At 43.2% G+C, this 16,891-nt stretch overlaps 1 protein-coding gene and 1 non-coding gene across 11 annotated transcripts in view, besides 1 other annotated feature; both read left to right on the top strand.

The window, feature by feature from the left end:
• RNF216 (ring finger protein 216) overlaps positions 1-16,891 on the top strand; it is a 161,617-nt gene that overhangs the window by 58,356 nt on the left and 86,370 nt on the right. For all 10 annotated transcript variants that reach the window (NM_207116.3, NM_207111.4, NM_001377156.1 and 7 more), the window contains 5 exons: positions 2,136-2,275; positions 6,542-6,592; positions 8,118-8,255; positions 10,445-10,593; positions 11,469-11,547. In NM_207116.3, the coding sequence (NP_996999.1) occupies positions 2,136-2,275; positions 6,542-6,592; positions 8,118-8,255; positions 10,445-10,593; positions 11,469-11,547 (557 nt within the window). The remainder of the gene's footprint in view (positions 1-2,135; positions 2,276-6,541; positions 6,593-8,117; positions 8,256-10,444; positions 10,594-11,468; positions 11,548-16,891) is intronic.
• MIR6874 (microRNA 6874) lies at positions 11,398-11,468 on the top strand. The gene has a single exon (NR_106934.1). It is a non-coding gene; the product is annotated as a microRNA 6874 (primary transcript).
• Positions 14,602-14,671: an enhancer, noted in NCBI's record as "active region_25611". NCBI's record gives its function as "activates an Ori minimal core promoter by ATAC-STARR-seq in GM12878 lymphoblastoid cells {active_cell/tissue: GM12878}" and the evidence as "EXISTENCE:reporter gene assay evidence [ECO:0000049][PMID:35858748]".

Raw genomic sequence — 16,891 nt, 5'->3', positions numbered from 1 at the left:
AAACTACAAAAAGAACTGAGTAAAGACGAAAGAAATAATAGGTGAAAATTTTTTTAATTTGTAGCATTGATAATTACAGTAATTAACATTGAGCACTTAATATGTACCAGTCACTTTTCTAAGTGCTTTAATGGATTAATTCATTTATGTTTCAAATAGCCTTATGAGATGTATGTGCCATTATTATCATTTTATAGAAAAAAAGTGAAGCACAGAGAGGTTAAGTAACTTGGCAGATGTTACACAGCTAGCGAGTAGCCCAGCTGGGAATCTGGCTTCAAAGCTTACTGTCTAACCACGTGCTTTTCTATTCTCATAATACCAAAAACTGATTTTTTTTGTTGCTGTTGTTTTTTTTAATTTTAAGACGGAGTCCACTTCCCAAGCTCAAGCGATTCTCCTGCCTCAGCCTCGCAAGTAGCTGGAATTAATTACAGGTGTGCGCCATCATGCCTGGGGGGTTTCACCATGTTGGACAGGTTGGTCTCGAACTCCTAACCTTAGATGATGTGCCCTCCTTGGCCTCCCAAAGTGCTGGGATTACAGGCGTGAGTCACTGCGCCTGGCCCCAAAAACTGGTTTTCTGAAGAAAAGGTTTGAATTTAAAAAAACATGAGAGGCTGGGCGCGGTGGCTCATGCCTGTAATCCTGGCACTTTGGGAGGCCGAGGCAGGCGGATCACGAGGTCGGGAGATCAAGACCATCCTGGCTAACACAGTGAAACCCCGTCTTTACTAAAAATACAAAAAATTAGCCGGGCATGGTGGCGGGCGCCTGTAGTCCCAGCTACTCGGGAGGCTGAGGCAGGAGAATGGCGTGAACCCCGGGGGGCGGAGCTGACAGTGAGCCGAGATCGCACCACTGCACCCTTGCCTGGGCAACAGAGTGAGACTCTGTCTCAAAAAAAAACAAAACAAACAAACAAACAAAAAAAAAAACATGAGAATGAGCAAGAGAAAAGGAGAATCAAAATAAAATGTATTAGGAACCAGATAGTAAATATTAAAATCAAGAGATTACCAAGAACAGACAAGAGTAAATTGAAAATCTGAATGAGATAAAGTTTTCTAGAAAAACATAAATTGGCCAGGCGTTGTGGCTCACACCTGTAATCCCAGCACTTTGGGAGGCCAAGGCTGGTGGATCATTTAGCCCAGGACTTCAAGACCAGCCTGGACAACATGGCAAAATCCCATCTCTAAAAAAATACAAAAAAATTAGCTGGGTGTGGTGGCATCTGCCTGTATAGTCCCAGCTCCTCAGGAGGCTGAGGCGGGAGGATTGCCTGAGCCCAGGAGTTGAGGCTGCAGTGATCTGTGAATGTGCCACTGCACTCCAGCGTGAGCAGCAGAGCAAGGCTCTGTCTCCAAAAAGAAAATCATAAATTGCCAAATCAGTGAAACAAGTACAAAACCTAAACAGATCATTTACGTGTCTAATATTTGTTATTCTGCTCTCTTTTATTCTCATGTTATAATATATTGTGGTGAATCTAGGTACTGTTCCTTCAGCCCCTTGTATATTTGAATGCTTTGAAAATAAAAATGGTTGAAAATCATACAGCACATTTGCACCCACCAGAATGGCTAAAATTAAAAACCGATGATAGGTGTTGGTAAGGACATGGAGAGACTGGAACTCACATGCATTGCTGATGGAGGAAGGGTGTAAACTGGTACAACCACTTTGGAAAACTGGCATTATTTTCTGAAGCTGGAAGTAAGCCTATCCCATGATCTAGCAATTCGCAGGTAAATTGCGGACATACATTCACCAACAAATGGCTATAAGCAGCGCTATTCAGATTAACCCAAAACAGCAAACCCAAATGTCCTCAGTAGTGAAATAGATAATAAATTGTGGTATATTCACATAGTACACTAGTGACAGGATAGGAGATGCCTTCCAATTGGAGCATAAACAGAGGGAAAGAATCAGAAAGGTCAAAAAATGGATGGTAGGTTGGCTAATGGTAAGAAGCCCAGTCTTCCCAAATGGTAGAATGTGATAGAAAAGTCATGAAACGTACCATCAGAGAGAAGGTGGAGGATGAGGCCGGGAAGAATGGACATGGCTGGCCCAGGTTCCTAACACATAGTTGTCTGCATGCTTTTGCATTGTCGTATATCTTCTAGGTGACATAAAAATAGAAAAGAGGATGTTCTTTCTTGAAAATAAGCGACGACATTGTAGGTCCTATGACCGACGTGCTCTCCTTCCAGCTGTGCAACAAGAGCAGGAGTTCTATGAGCAGAAAATCAAAGAGATGGCAGAGGTAGGAAGATGTGCTCTGGTCTTGGGGTGTGTTTCTGGGATTCTGGTTTGCTCTTAGGGTTTAGTTAGTACAAAACTGTCTTTTAAGATTTCCCTTTTCTTCAGACTGTTAAATTTGGATATATGCAAAGTTTTTAAAAGAAAAAACCTGGATTTTGTCATAATACTTATGTTTGTGGTTTCATAAATCAGATTCATGTTAGAAAATTTTAATTGGAGCTTAGTGTATCTATTTTACCTCCTCCCTCAGCCTCGGTTCCATTTCGCTCTTTAATTTTTCTAAATATAGTATCAAATGTGCAAGTCAGCTGGAATGTATATATTGGTTGTTTAATAAGTATCTTCTAAACCAGTGGCTCTCAAAGTGTGACCCAGAGATCCCTGGGTTTCCCAAGACTCTCTTGGGGGTCTGCGAGGTCAAACCTCTTATAACTATGCTAAGACATTACAGTGACCCTTGAACAACATGAAAGTTAGGAGTGCTTCCCCCTGTGCAGCTGAAAGTCAGCATATAATGTTTGACTGCCCCAAAACTTCACTGTGAACAGCCTACCGTTGACAGGAAGCCTTACCCATAATAGTCGATGAGCACGTTTGGTATGTTTTGTGTATTACATGCTGTATTCTTAGAATAAGGTAAGCTAGAGAAAACGTTATTAAGAAAATGAGAAGGAAAATATATTTCATATTCATTAAATGGAAGTGTGGATCAGCATGAGAAGGTCTTTATCTTCATGGTCTTCACGTTGAGTAGGCTGAGGAGGAGGGGTGTGTTGGTTTTGCTGTCTCAGGGTGGCAGAAGCAGAAGAAAATCAGCACATAAGTGGGTCCCCACAGTTCACATCTCTGTTGATCAAGCTCAGCTATATTTGCTTTTTCACCATATTGAGTTTGTACCAGCAGAACAAAAGCAGTGGTGCCTTGGCATGAATCAGGCCAGTGTCGTAGAGCCATCGTCACAATCATTGTTTTCTTCACCACCATGCACTTACATTTTTAAGACACACCAGTTTCACCTGAAAATGTCTTTGATAAAGCAGTAAAAATTACTTTACCAAGTTTTGACCGTTGGAAACATCTTTTCAATATTCTGTGTAATAAAATGAAGTCTTCATAAAGTGCTTCTGCCACATCCCAGGATATGAAGCTTGTCTTATATCCAGGTATGAGGAAAGCACTTATGCAACTGAGCCACAAAGCAGCTGCATTGGCCACTTTTTACTTGGAAAAAAGTGACAGAAAAACTATGATTATTCAAAATAGGTATTTGGCAGGCATTTTCTCAAAAATGAATGAAGTGATTATTTTTGACCAAAATTCTAGATTTTAAGCAGAAATTAGAATTTATTGTTTTGATCCATCTGTTATAGAATGACATTCATTGATATCACCAATCTTATCAGATAAGTATTTAAAGTATTGGCAAATTGATGAATGTAGTTCATTGTAGTCTTTTATTCTTGGTGATATTCACATTGTCCCATCTCTGACTATTGGCTGCCCCTTCAAGTTAGTCTCTCTTAACCCGACCCCTGTAGTCTCTGACAACATCTTTGCTTTTGGGCACAGCCAAATGACCCCGTTTCAGCTTCTGCTTTCTCAGACCTGGACTCAACAATTTTCCAAAGTACCTTCTTTGCTTTTTTCTTTTCTTTTTTGACAGAGGAGCTCCATGTGTTACTTAGGCTGGAGTGCAGTGATGCAATCATGGCTTACTGCTTCAACCTACCTCCTGGGCTCAAGCAGTCCTTCCATCTCAACCTCCTGAGTAATTGGGACTGCAGGTGTGCACCACCACACCTGGCTAACTTTTTTTGTAGAGCCTGGGTTTCCCCATGCTGTCCAGGCTGGTCTCGAACTTCTGGCCTCAAGCCGTCCTCCCAACTCAGCCGCCCAAATTGTTGGGGTTACAGGCATGCACCACCATGCCCTGCCAACTTTCTTTTCTCTGATGCTAAAAGTCTTGGTTCTTAATAATATTAATAACATTATTCAATATTTAAAATATTTTAAAGTCACTTGAAATAAATCTCGGTGCTTATACCATTAACTTGATAAACAAGTTTATTCGTTTCTGGCCAGGCACAGTGGCTTATGCATGTAATCCCAGCACTTTGGGAGGCCAAGGCAGGCAATCACTTGAGGCCAGGAGTTCAAGACTAAAAAAACTTAAGTTTGGCCGGGTGGGATGGCTCATGCCTGTAATCCCAGCATGATTACATGCTTTGGAAGGCCGAGGTGGGCAGATCACCTGAGATCAGGAGTTACAGACCAGCCTGACCAACATGGCAAAACTCTGTCTCTACTAAAAATAAATTAGCTGGGCATGGTGGCACACACCTGTAATCCCAGCTACTTGGGAGGATGAGGCACGAGAATTGCTTGAACATGGGAGGTCGAGGTTGGTTGCAGTGAGCCAAAATCATGCCACTGCACTCCAGCCTGGGCAACAAAGCAAGACTCAGTTTCAAAAAAAAAAAAAAGGGTGGGTTATTTCTTTCTGTTTGTTTTGAACTTTTAGAGAATTGGTTTTGTTTTTTTGTCTAAGGTTGTAAAAATTTTAGTTCTGAAATAAAAACTATAAAACAAGGAATATTCAGAAATATCTAGCTTTTGTGCTGTCCCTTTCTCGCATTTTGTTTGTTTGTTTTTTGAGACGGAGTCTCGCTTTGTCACCCAGGCTGGAGTGCAGTGGCAGGATCTCGGCTCACTGCAACGTCTGACTCCTGGGTTCAAGGGCTTCTCCTGCCTCAGCCACCTTAGTAGCTGGGATTACAGGTGCGCCCCACCATGCCTGGCTAATTTTTGTATTTTTAGTAGAGACAGGGTTTCGCCATGTTGACCAGGCTGGTGTCAAACTCCTGACCTTAAGCAATCCCCCCACCTTGGCCTCCCAAAGTGCTGGGATTATAGGCGTGAGCCACTGCACCTGGCCCCCTGCTTTGTTTATATATAACCATTATTGTTAGTCTTTGGTTTACCTTTCCTTATTTTATGGAAAAGCAAATAAGTATACGTATTTTTATTTACCCGTCTTTCTTATCCAGATAGTAGCAGACCAAGTAGCTGGGATTACAGGTGTGTGCCACCATGTGTACTAGCTCACACCTGTAGTCCCAGCTACTCGGGAAGCTGAGGTGGGAGGATCTCTTGAGCCTGGGAGGTCGAGGCTGCAGTGAGCTGAGATTGCACCACTGCACTCCAGCCTGGGCGACAAAGTGAGACTCTGTCTCATAAATAATTTAATGTAATCCCAAATGTTGGCAGACTCTTCTGCGACTGCATTTTTCATTTAACCATGCATCCTGGCAGTCACTCTGCAGCAATTCATAGGGATTTTTCTCTTTCCTTTTTGAAACTGGCTGGTATACCATTTTATGTAATACCACAGTTTATTCAGTCATTCCCCTATTGATGGATGTTTAGGGTTGTTTCCAGGTTTTTGCTATTATAAATAGTGCCATGATAAGTTTGTGCATACATCATTCCCTGTTTCTGCCCAGTTGCATCTTTGGGCTAGACTCTTGGAAGTGGCATTGATGACTCTGTGCCAGTGCCCCACCAGTGTGGTTGTCTTGTTTTGCATTCTCACCAGTAATGTGTGGGGGTGCCCACTACCACACAGCCTCGCCAGCGAAGTCTGTTGTTAAACTTAGTTTTTGTATGTTTGTTTGTTTTTTGAGATGGAGTTTCACTCTTGTTGCCCGGGCTAGAGTGCAATGGTGCGATTTCGGCTCACTGCAACCTCTGCCTCCCAGGTTCAAGTAATCTTCCTGCTTCAGCCTCCCAAGTAGCTGGGATTACAGGTGCACGCCACCATGCCCAGCTAATTTTGTATTTTTAGTAGAGATGGGGTTTTTCCATGTTGGTCAGGCTGGTCTCGAACTCCTGATCTCAGGTGATCTGCCCACCTCGGCCTTCCAAAGTGCTGGGATTACAGGCATGAGCCATCCCACCCGGCCAAACTTAGTTTTTATTTGTTCAGTTTGTTTTTGTTGATGCTATTCTTTGCTGTTCAAAGTGTTTTATGTGTCAGCCTTTTCCCTTATTTATTCTACATTTTGAGTCATACTTAAGAAATATTGTCCTGTATTTTCTAGCTCTCTGATCCACTTAAAATTTATTCACAGGTAACCTTTTTGAACTGCTAAACTGTGTAATTGAAGAGATCGCAATACTGGAGTTATGTTTATGGAAATAAATACTAAATGGTTAGTGTCATTTTTACTAAATTTGTGTCTGAATGTGTGCCTTTTTTGTTCTTCAGCATGAAGACTTTTTGCTTGCCCTACAGATGAATGAAGAACAGTATCAAAAGGTAGTTTGAAATCTCACCTTGTTTATTCTGGGCATTTTCATGGGCTGTTTTCTCTTACCATGTTTTGTCAGCATTTTTGATGGCAAATTTGTTTTTGGATAACCTCCTGTTTGGTGAGTTTGCAGTTCAGCCAAGTTATAGTCAGATACGTGATCTAGTATAGTCACTCTTATACCACACTGAATCAGAATTGAAGGGAAGATAATAGATGTTCCTGTTAAAAATCATTACCTGACATTCATCAGATACACTCATAAAGGAAAGTTTACAACTTAGATATCACTTTAGAGTTAACGAGGTATGTCTAACCTCAGGGCAAGATGGGTTTCTGTATGTAAAAAAAATGCCCAGCTAATTTTTGTATTTTTAGTAGAGACGGGGTTTCACCATGTTGGCCAGGCTGGTCTTGAACTCCTGACCTCAGGTGATCCACCCATCTCAACCTCCCAAAGTGCTGGGAACAGGTGTGAGCCACTACACCTGGCTACTGACCCTTTCTAATGTGGTATTAAGAATGGGTTGGTGGCCGGGCACCGTGGCTCGTGCCTGTAATTCCAGCACTTTGAGAGGCCAAAATGGGAGGATTGCTTGAGCCCAGGAGTTTGAGACTAACCTGGTCAACATAGCAGCACCCCATTTCTAATAAAAATTAAAAATAAATAAATAAAAGAATGGGGCTGGATGCAGTGGCTCACTCCTGTAATCCCAGCACTTCGGAAGGCCAAGGCAGGCACATCACGAGGTCAGGGGTTTGAGACCAGCCTGGTCAACGTGGTGAAACCCCGTCTCTACTAAAAATACAAAAAATTAGCTGGGCATAGTGGCGGGTGCCTGTAATCCCCACTACTCGGGAGGCTGAAGCAGGAGAATCGCTTGAACCTGGGAGGTGGAGGTTGCAGTGAGCCAAGATCGTGCCACTGCACTCCAGTTCGGGCAACAGAGTGAGACTCCATCTCAAAAAAAAAAAAAAAAAAAAAAAGAATGAGTTGGTGATTGGATCCGTTGCTATAGTTAATAAAAGGAGTCAATAGCCTGGTACATTACTTGAGGTTGCTGCTTTAGTTATAGCTTCAATAGTCCCTTAAAATAAAGCGCAGACCTCGATAGACCCATTCACACTCCTTATGACAAGAACAAAATTCAACTTTTGAAAGTTTTTTGGGTAACATCTCTCATACTCCTTATCCTTGCTGTTTATAATCACATTAGCATCTGAGTACAGATGTTCTAGTTCCCTTTGCACCATGGGATTGAATATGATAACTTTATATAAAGAATTACTCTAAAGAATACCAGAAAAAAAACACGAAAACCTCGCTGTTTTAGGTATGGATTAATACTGTGTTAGTATCTTGAGCTAGATTTATATAGCACGAAACAGCATATCATTGTTTTATGGCCCCTAAAATGGGTTGCTTTACCTCAGAATTTGTGTGGGGGGTGGCAGAGAGATGAGGATGGGAGACAAGGCTCCCCCTCTCCTTAAGTGCAGGACATTTCATGTGTGTTTCTTGACTGCCTGCAGGATGGCCAGCTGATTGAGTGTCGCTGCTGCTATGGGGAATTTCCATTCGAGGAGCTGACGCAGTGCGCAGATGCTCACTTGTTCTGCAAAGAGTGTCTCATCAGATATGCCCAAGAGGCAGTCTTTGGATCTGGAAAGGTAAGAACTGTGTAATATGTCCCATGTATATAGGACACATTCCTGGAGTCTAAGGAGACCATGTTGATAGATAAGTGTAAGTGCCTCTTTGAGGGTGAGGTGGAGTTCTGCTGGTATGCTTATGTGTACATTACCTGATGTATGTGATTATGTGGGTTCTCTGAGCACAGCAGATTTCTTTTCAGGGCACAGTAGAATTCTTCCACACTCCCACGCCTAGCCGCAGAGGAGCACCTCCTTCGTTCATCATCTTATTTGTATTCAGAGGGAAGGTTACCTCAGAAAGAGAGAACCTTGCAGCCTATTGGATTAAATATATATTAAAATAACATAACTTACTTTACACAAGATCATATTTCTCTCTCCAAAGTGAGTTTCTCTGGACACCAGCATAACAAACACAGTATGGGAATTTTACATTGTTTTACACCACCGAGTTTGTGGTATTTTGTTCCAGCAGCAATAGAAAACTAACACAGTGATTAAGAAGATGACTTTTTGCCCGGGTGGCTCACGCCTGTAATCCCAGCACTTTGGGAGGCCGAGGTAGGCGGATCACCTGAGGTCAGGAGTTCAAGACCAGCCTGACCAACATGGAGAAACCCCATCTCTACTAAAAATACAAGATTAGCCAGACCTGGTGGCGCATGCCTATAATCTCAGCTACTGGGGAGGCTGAGGCAGGAGAATTGGTTGAATCTGGGAGGCAGAGGTTGTGGTGAGTTGAGATCGTGCCATTGCACTCCAGCCTGGGCAACAAGAGTGAAACTCCATCTCTAAAAAAGAAAAATAGGCCAGGCGCTGTGGCTTATGCCTGTAATCCCAGCACTTTGGGAGGCTAAGTTGGGTGGATCACAAGATTAGGAGTTCGAGACTAGCCTGGCCAACATGGTGAAACCCCATCTCTGCTAAAAATACAAAAATTAGCCAGGTGTGGTGGTGGGTGCCTGTAATCCAGCTACTCGGGAGGCTTAGTGAGCTGAGATCGCACCACTGCACTCCAGCCTTGGTGACAGGGCGAGACTCTGTCTCAGAAAAATAAATAAATAAAGTTTATGTTTTTTCAAAGAGCGTGACCTTTGGAGTCAAGCAGAATGCATTGGGCCATGCCCCCATCAGCCATACTAGCCCTGTGATCTTGAGCAATTTAAATTCCTTAAGCCACTGTTTCTTCCTCTGTAAAATGGAAATAATCATAGCATTGTTTTGAAAGCTAAATGAGGTGATGAGTTTAATGAACTTATTGTTTGACACATGGTAAATGCCTCATAAATTTTAGCTAGTTATTTTTAAAATGTCGTCTTTTTCCATTTGTTTTCTTTGGTGTTTGTCTTTCATGTGGGAAGCATTCCTCATGTCTGACACTTTTTGTTCATGTTAAAGAGCTGTTTGAAAGCTGTGTGAGTAGTGGGGCTTATAGACCAGTGAGTTTGACTCTAGGTGCATAGGAGCCAGTTAGCTTTTATATTATGAACCTGAATGGCTCTGAAGTCTCTTACCTGGGGTGATTCAGTCTGCCTCCTGCCTGGTGGGTGTGAGCCCATTTTCCAACATTCTGAAACTGAGGGGGAGGAAAGGTCTGGAGAGTTCTCTGTTCATTATGCAGACTCCATTTCAGACTCTGACTTCAGGCCACCCCTCAGCTCTGCTCTCCTCTATGAGTGGTTTCCAGTCCAGAGCCGTGTGGTCCAGCTGTTCAGGAGATCTTCCTCATTTCTCTCAGAGTCAGCCAATTCCTTCTGAAGCGGGTAGGAACTAGAGGCTCCACCCATGTCCCTGTTTTCAGTTTATTACTTTGAGTCCCTGCCCCTCCCCACCACTCAGCTCTGCTTTCCAGAGGTTCTCCAGCTTTCTAATATCTGTAGAGGGGAACAACTTCTCCCCAGCATCTCCTTTTCAGACCCTAAGCTATGGGCTTCTGTGTGTGGTCTGCTAAGCCATTTGCCCTTCCGCCACTTTCAGTCTTTGTGGATTGTGATTTGGGCTAATAGAGGTCCTTTAGTGATATCAAAGATGTACTGGATTTTTGTTTCATGGTTTCCATGATTTAAGTGTGATTTCTCAGAGATGAACAGGCAGAGAGATCCTTGCTATGTTGTCTCAGGATCTATGTTTTTAACCACTGACGCTTTTTATTTTTCTATAAATGGTATTGATTTTTTTTTCTTTGCCTTTTCGCCTTTTTCTAGTTGGAGCTCAGCTGCATGGAAGGCAGCTGCACGTGTTCGTTCCCAACCAGTGAGCTGGAGAAGGTGCTCCCCCAGACCATCCTGTATAAGTACTATGAGCGAAAAGCCGAGGAGGAGGTTGCGGCAGCCTACGCCGACGAGCTTGTCAGGTTCGTTCTCAGGCAGAGCGTGCCATCTGCCAACTCTTCCCCATTGTGAAAACTACCTGGGCACTTGCATCAGATGATGAAAATTGTGTTTATCTTCCAGGTTTTTTGACATTTCTTGCTGAGAAATAAGATTATCAATAATTTTACTTATTTATTTTTATTTTTTACGCCTCAGAACCATTGAGTAACCAGTAATTCTATTAATGGAAAAATCTGCCCCTCAAACTTCTTTTTTTTTTTTTGAGGTGGATTCTCGCTCTGTCGCCCAGGCTGGAGTACAGTGGTGCAATCTTGGCTCACTACAACCTCCGCCTCCTGAGTTCAAGCAATTCTCATGCCTCAGCCTCCTGAGTAGCCTGGATTACAGGCGTGCACCACCACATTCCAGCTTATTTTTAGTAGAGACGAGGTTTTGCCATGTTGGCCAGGCTGGTCTCCAACTCCTGACCTCAAATGATCCACCCACCTCAGCCTCCCAAAGTGCTGGGACTACAGGCGTGAGCCACCGCGCCCAGACTGTAGCTCAAACTTCTGTCTACATATCTTGGCACCCCCAAATCTTCTGGCCCGTAGATACAATCATGGTGCCCTGGGCTGGAGGGAAATCGGTATATGCAAGGAGTTCTCATTAAGGTTGGGACGTGTTTATTGAGTGGTTTATATTCAGTCAGGACCTCATGTGGTGCTTATGTTTCCTGATAAGAGCCAGCACAAAGAAGAGGTTCAATCTGTGTTTTTAAGGAAAACTAAGGAGTATAAAGGGGATGTGAATGTCCAGCTCAAAACTCCATCTTCATATGAACAGCCACATGGAGCTGGAACCAGATCAGGCTTTAATGTTTGAAGTAATGTCAGTTCTGCTGTTCTGACTCTAGGTGCCCGTCCTGTAGCTTTCCGGCTCTGTTGGACAGTGATGTGAAGAGGTTCAGCTGTCCTAATCCTCACTGCCGAAAGGTAGGGAGGCACATTTTTTTCTAGATGTATATTGAATTATGGTATTATGGGCTGCCCTCATGGCCCAAATATCTGCTGTTTACCTGACTGCTGATGTATAAGAAGGATTTGAGTGCTTTCCTTTTCATAAGCAAATGAGGACGAGTACTTTGTGAGTAACGGTTGACATGGTTACTGAGATGGCAGCCACTCTTGCCACTCCAGTTACAAAGCTCTGGATTCCTATTTTATATCATCTTCTTTAGGACAGATACTATAATGTAAAGTGGGAAGTGTTTAGTTTTTCTTCCACTGTGTCAACATTTTTCTTGCTTGCTCTCTTCACCACCTGTGCTCAAATAGCCCCTGCTACCCCTCCCTCCCCACACACACACCTTTTGCCATTTTCAAAGTCCAAACGACGCTTCTTTGATTGAGGAACTGGGCATCTTAGTGGCATCTCCATCACATCTGGTAGGTTATTTATTTGACTGTTTCTCCTCATGAGAACTGACTATATTACGTGGGAGCAGAGCTGTCTAGGTGCATTACTGTTGCAGATCTTTGTTCCCTTTAACTTGGCGCCCTGTGAACTAAGAATGTCTTAAAATCTTTCAGCTATTTAGAAGCCACTTAGAGTTTTTAGTGAATATTAGCATCCACCTAGACAAATACGCTCTAAGCCATTTTTCTAAAATTGCATGATTAGAGTTGAACACTGCAATATCTTTGCCTTGGGGAGAGTAAAGAAATTAAGGTAGAGATTAGAAAAGGAAGAATAAACTAAACTAATGGATCAAAACTTTATTTCTTTTGTTTTCAGCATTAATATTTCTGGCCATTTTATATGTTCGCACCCCAGGCTGTTGCTATAACAATTGTCACAACAGTCGCTGGCATCTTGCAGCTCTTAAGAAAGCAGAGTGCTAGCGTGTCCCTTGTGTGCTTCCAGTGGGTCAGGTGTTGGACTGCCTGGGGAGGTGATGCCTACGCTAAGATGCAGCAGATAAGGAGGAAGTAGCCAAAGGATGGAAAGGGTGGGAGTGGAGTGGAGATGGAGAAATGTTCTAGGCCCCGGGAGTGGCAGCAATGTGGACGCTTACTGGTGCTAGGAGTGTGAAGGAGGCTCATAAGCTGAGTAGGGGCAGGCCCATGCAGCACACTGTCCTGAGGTGGGGAGAGATAAAATATAAGGAAAGTCTACTTGCCTATTGAGTAGTCCAGGTGAGAAATGTACAGCACTGCACAGCCTCTTGGGTCTTCATGAGTTGCTTAGAAGGAGCTGGGAACTACATTTCCTGGTAAGGTTTCAAAGAAGGTCTGCCAGTGAAAGTGCTTATGTACAATTGGGAAGGCCAAAGAAGAGGAGAGACCATTATTCTCTGAGGACGTTTTTTGTTTTTGTTTTTGTTTTTAAGTTTTGAGGCAGGGTCTCACTCTGTTGCCCAGGCTGGAGTGCAGTGGCACGATCTCAGCTCACTGCAACCTCCGCCTCCTGGCTTCAAGCAGTTCTCCTGCCTCAGCCTCCCAAGTAGCTGGGATCACAGGTATGCGCCACCACGCCTGACTGATTTTTATATTTTTAGTAGAGATGAGGTTTCACCATGTTGGCCAGGCTGGTCCTGAACTCCTGGCCTCCAGTGATCCGCCCACCTCAGCCTTCCAAAGTGCTGGTATTACAGGTGTAAGCCACCACCCCCAGCCTGAAGACATTTAAAAGCAGCTGCATTGGTTGCCCAGTGGCTCATGCCTGTAATCCCAGCACTTTGAGAGGCTGAGGCAGGAGGATCTCTTGAGACTAGGAGTCCGAGACCAGCCTGAGCAACATAGACCCTATCTCTACAAAAAAAATTTTAAAACTCAGCTAGGCATGGTGGTGTGTGCCCATAGTCCTAGCTACTTAAGAGACTGAGGCAGGACAATCAGTTGAGCCCAGGAGATTGAGGCTGCACTGAGCCATGATTGCGCCACTGCACTCTAGCCTGGACAACAGACTAAGACTCTGTCTTTAAAAGAAAAAAATTTAAAAAATAAAAGCCTGAGGGCACACATGAGTCTGGAACAGCATCTAGTGAGTATCAACTTGGCATGTTGGTGGGAGCTTCCCAGGGGCTCTTAAGATCCCAAATAGGAACACCACATATGTTTTTGTTTGTCTATGGGAGGAATATACATGGCCTGCTGAACTTGAAGGTAGCCATGTAGCTTCTTGTGGTCAGTGAAACATGTGAGTAGTTAGATCACTTGCAGAAAAAGCCGTAAAGGCATGTGGTGTGGGGTAGTGTCAAGATGACAGAAGAGAAAGCTCCAGACCCTCTTTTTCCCATAGAGAGAACAGTTCAACAACAACGGAAGGACCATTTCTCTCTGTGAGAAATCCAGAAACCAGTTGCATCAAAGGCTGGGGAATTTGTGACGCTGGCTCTCCAGAGTTCCTCCCCCTGGCACAGCACCATGTGATTGGGAGGAAGCTCCCAACTCCTGGCATCTTTCTGGGGAGGAAAAAGAAGACTGGAACATATATCTAATATTCAGACCTTTCAGGAGGCTGCTCAAGGGACTGGTTTCTGTCTTGTCTCACAGGAAAGGGCACCAGGTTGGGGACCTCTGAGGACAAATGGGATGGTGAAACTAGCACGTACTGACTCCTCATTGCCCTCTCCCTGCTCTTCTCGGGAGGGAAGGAGTTGGAGCATGAGTCCAGCATTCTAGGTTTTCTGGAGTCTGCCCAAGACTCTCGTTCCTGTCTCACTCGATGAAGCACTGATGGGACCTGGCATGGTCTAGGTCCCTGGGGGCTGCTGAGAACAAGAGAAAGCTGGGTGGTTTGTACTGCGCCAGAGGACCCACGGTACAGTAGGCAGAGTCCAGTGCACCTCGAAGGCTGCTTTTTGGGTCCAGGGGAAGAGTAGAGCATGTGTTCAGCATTTGGGCTTCTCAAGGGGCTGCCTGAGGGACTGGCTTCTGTCTCACCCAACTCACTGCTGGCAGAACCCAACCTACTCTAGATGCCTTGGAGCTGCTGAGGCCAAAAAAGAGCTGGGCAGCTTACAGCAGCTCCAGAGGGCCTGTGATACCTCAGACAGGCACCAGAAGAAGCAAGAGCTTGCAAGCTCCTGAAAAAAGGAAAACAAAAGCCTGAGCACTTATATTAGCCTACGATTTAGCAAAATCTTCTTGCAGGAAGCCTATTTTAGAATAAAGTATGAGTATCTCATGTAATTTATTGAGTACTGTACTGAAAGTGAAAAAGAGAATGATTGTATGGGTACTTGAATTACAGTTTCTACTGAATGTGTATCACTTTCACACCACAGTAAAGTCAAAAAGTGTAAAACCATTGTAAGTTGGAGACCATCTGTATATGCACCCGACATCAGTGCACCCAAATATGTGAAGCAAATATTGACAGCCGAAGGGAAAAATAACACAAAAATAGTAGGAGATTGCAATACCTCACTTTCAATCATTGTTAGCACCACCAGGCAGAAGATTAGTAAGGAAACAGCTGACTTGAACAACACTATAGACCTAACAGACACATACAAAATATTCTAGCCAACAGGCACAGAAAACACTTTTTCTCCTCTGTTGCGCATGGAACATTTTCCAGGATGGAGAATATTAGATCATAATACAGGTCTTAACAAATTTAAGATCAAAATCATACCAAGTATCTTTTCCAGCCACAAGGCGATACACTTAGAAATCACAAACAGCAAGAAAATTCACAAAGTATGAGAACTAAACACACTGTCCGGGCATGGTGGCTCCCACCTGTCATCCTGGCACTGTGGGAGGCCGAGGCAAGTGGATCACCTGAATTCTGGAGTTCGAGACCAGCCTGGCCAACATGGCAAAACTCTGTCTCTACTAAAAATACAAAAATTTAGCTGGGTGTGGTTGCGTGCGCCTGTAATCGCAGCTACTTGGGAGGCTGAGGCAGGAGAGAATCGCTTGAACCAGGGAGGTGGAGGTTGCGGTGAGCAGAGATTGTGCCGCTGTACTCCAGCCTGGGCGACAGAGTGAGACTCTGTCACAAAAAAAAAAAAAAAAAAAAAAACCACACACACACACTGAAAAGCTTTTTTTTACTAAGATCAGGAACAAGGCAAGGATATCACTGTCACCACTTCCATGCTATATAACACTGGAAGCCCTAGCTAGAGCTATTTGGCAGGAAAAAGCAAAAGCATCTATATCCGTGCAAGTTCACAGATAACATGATCTTATACATAGAAAAATCTGCAATTTCCACAAAAAAACTTGTTAGAATTAATATATTCAGTAAAGGTGCAGGATACAAAATTAGCACATAAAAATCAGTTGCGTTCCTGTACACTAACAAACACTCCAAAAAGAGAAATTAAGAAAATCTAATTTATAATACATCAAAAAAGTTGGAATACTTAGGAACAACTTAACCAAGGAGTGGGTAAAGACTTATACACTGAAAACTATAAAAAACTGCTGAAATAATTAAAGAAGACATAAATAAATGGAAAGACATCCCTAAAATGCATATGGAACCACAAAGGATCCCAAATATCCTAGACAGTCTTAAGAAAGAAGAACAAAGCTGGAAGCCTCACACTTCCTGACTTCAAAACTTATTACAAAGCTACAGTAATTTAAACAGGCAGACATGTAGACCAATGGAACATAATACAGTGCTCAGAAATAAATCCACACATTTATGATCAGCTGATCTTCAACAAGGGTGCAAAGAACACCCACCGGGGGAAAAGGTAGTCTCTGATTAATGGTGCTCTGTAAACTGAATATCCACATGCAAAAGAATGAACTTAGACGCTGATACCATATCTCATATCATAACACAAAAATCAACTCTTTAAATGGATTAAAGACTTAAGTGTAAGACCTGAAACTATAAAAACTAGAAGAAAACGTAGGTGGAAAGCTTCATGACATCAGTCTTGGCAATGATTTCCTGGGTATAATACCAAAAACAAGGTGACAAAAGCAAAAAACAGGCAAGTGACTACTAAGATGCTTTCAGCAAAGGAAACCATCAACAGAGTGAAAAGGCAGCCGGTGGAAAGGAATTGAAATCCTTTGGGAAAGGATCTCAGCATGTTCCTGTGTTCATTGCAGCATTATTCACAGTAGCCACAAGATGGAAACCACTTACTGACATGTTCGTCAACAGATGAATGGTTAAAATTTGGTATATTATGCAGCCTTTGAAAAGAAGGAACTCCTGGCACATACTAACAACACAGATAAACCACCTTGAGGGACATTGTGTTCAGTGCAATTAGCCAGTCATAGAAGGACAGATACTGCACGATTCCACTTAAATGCAGGATCTAAAGTAGTCAGACTCATAGAAACACAAAGTAGA

Source organism: Homo sapiens, chromosome 7, assembly GCF_000001405.40.
Source record: "Homo sapiens chromosome 7, GRCh38.p14 Primary Assembly".
NCBI lineage: Eukaryota > Metazoa > Chordata > Mammalia > Primates > Hominidae > Homo > Homo sapiens.
This window is presented reverse-complemented; position numbering and strand designations above follow the sequence as displayed.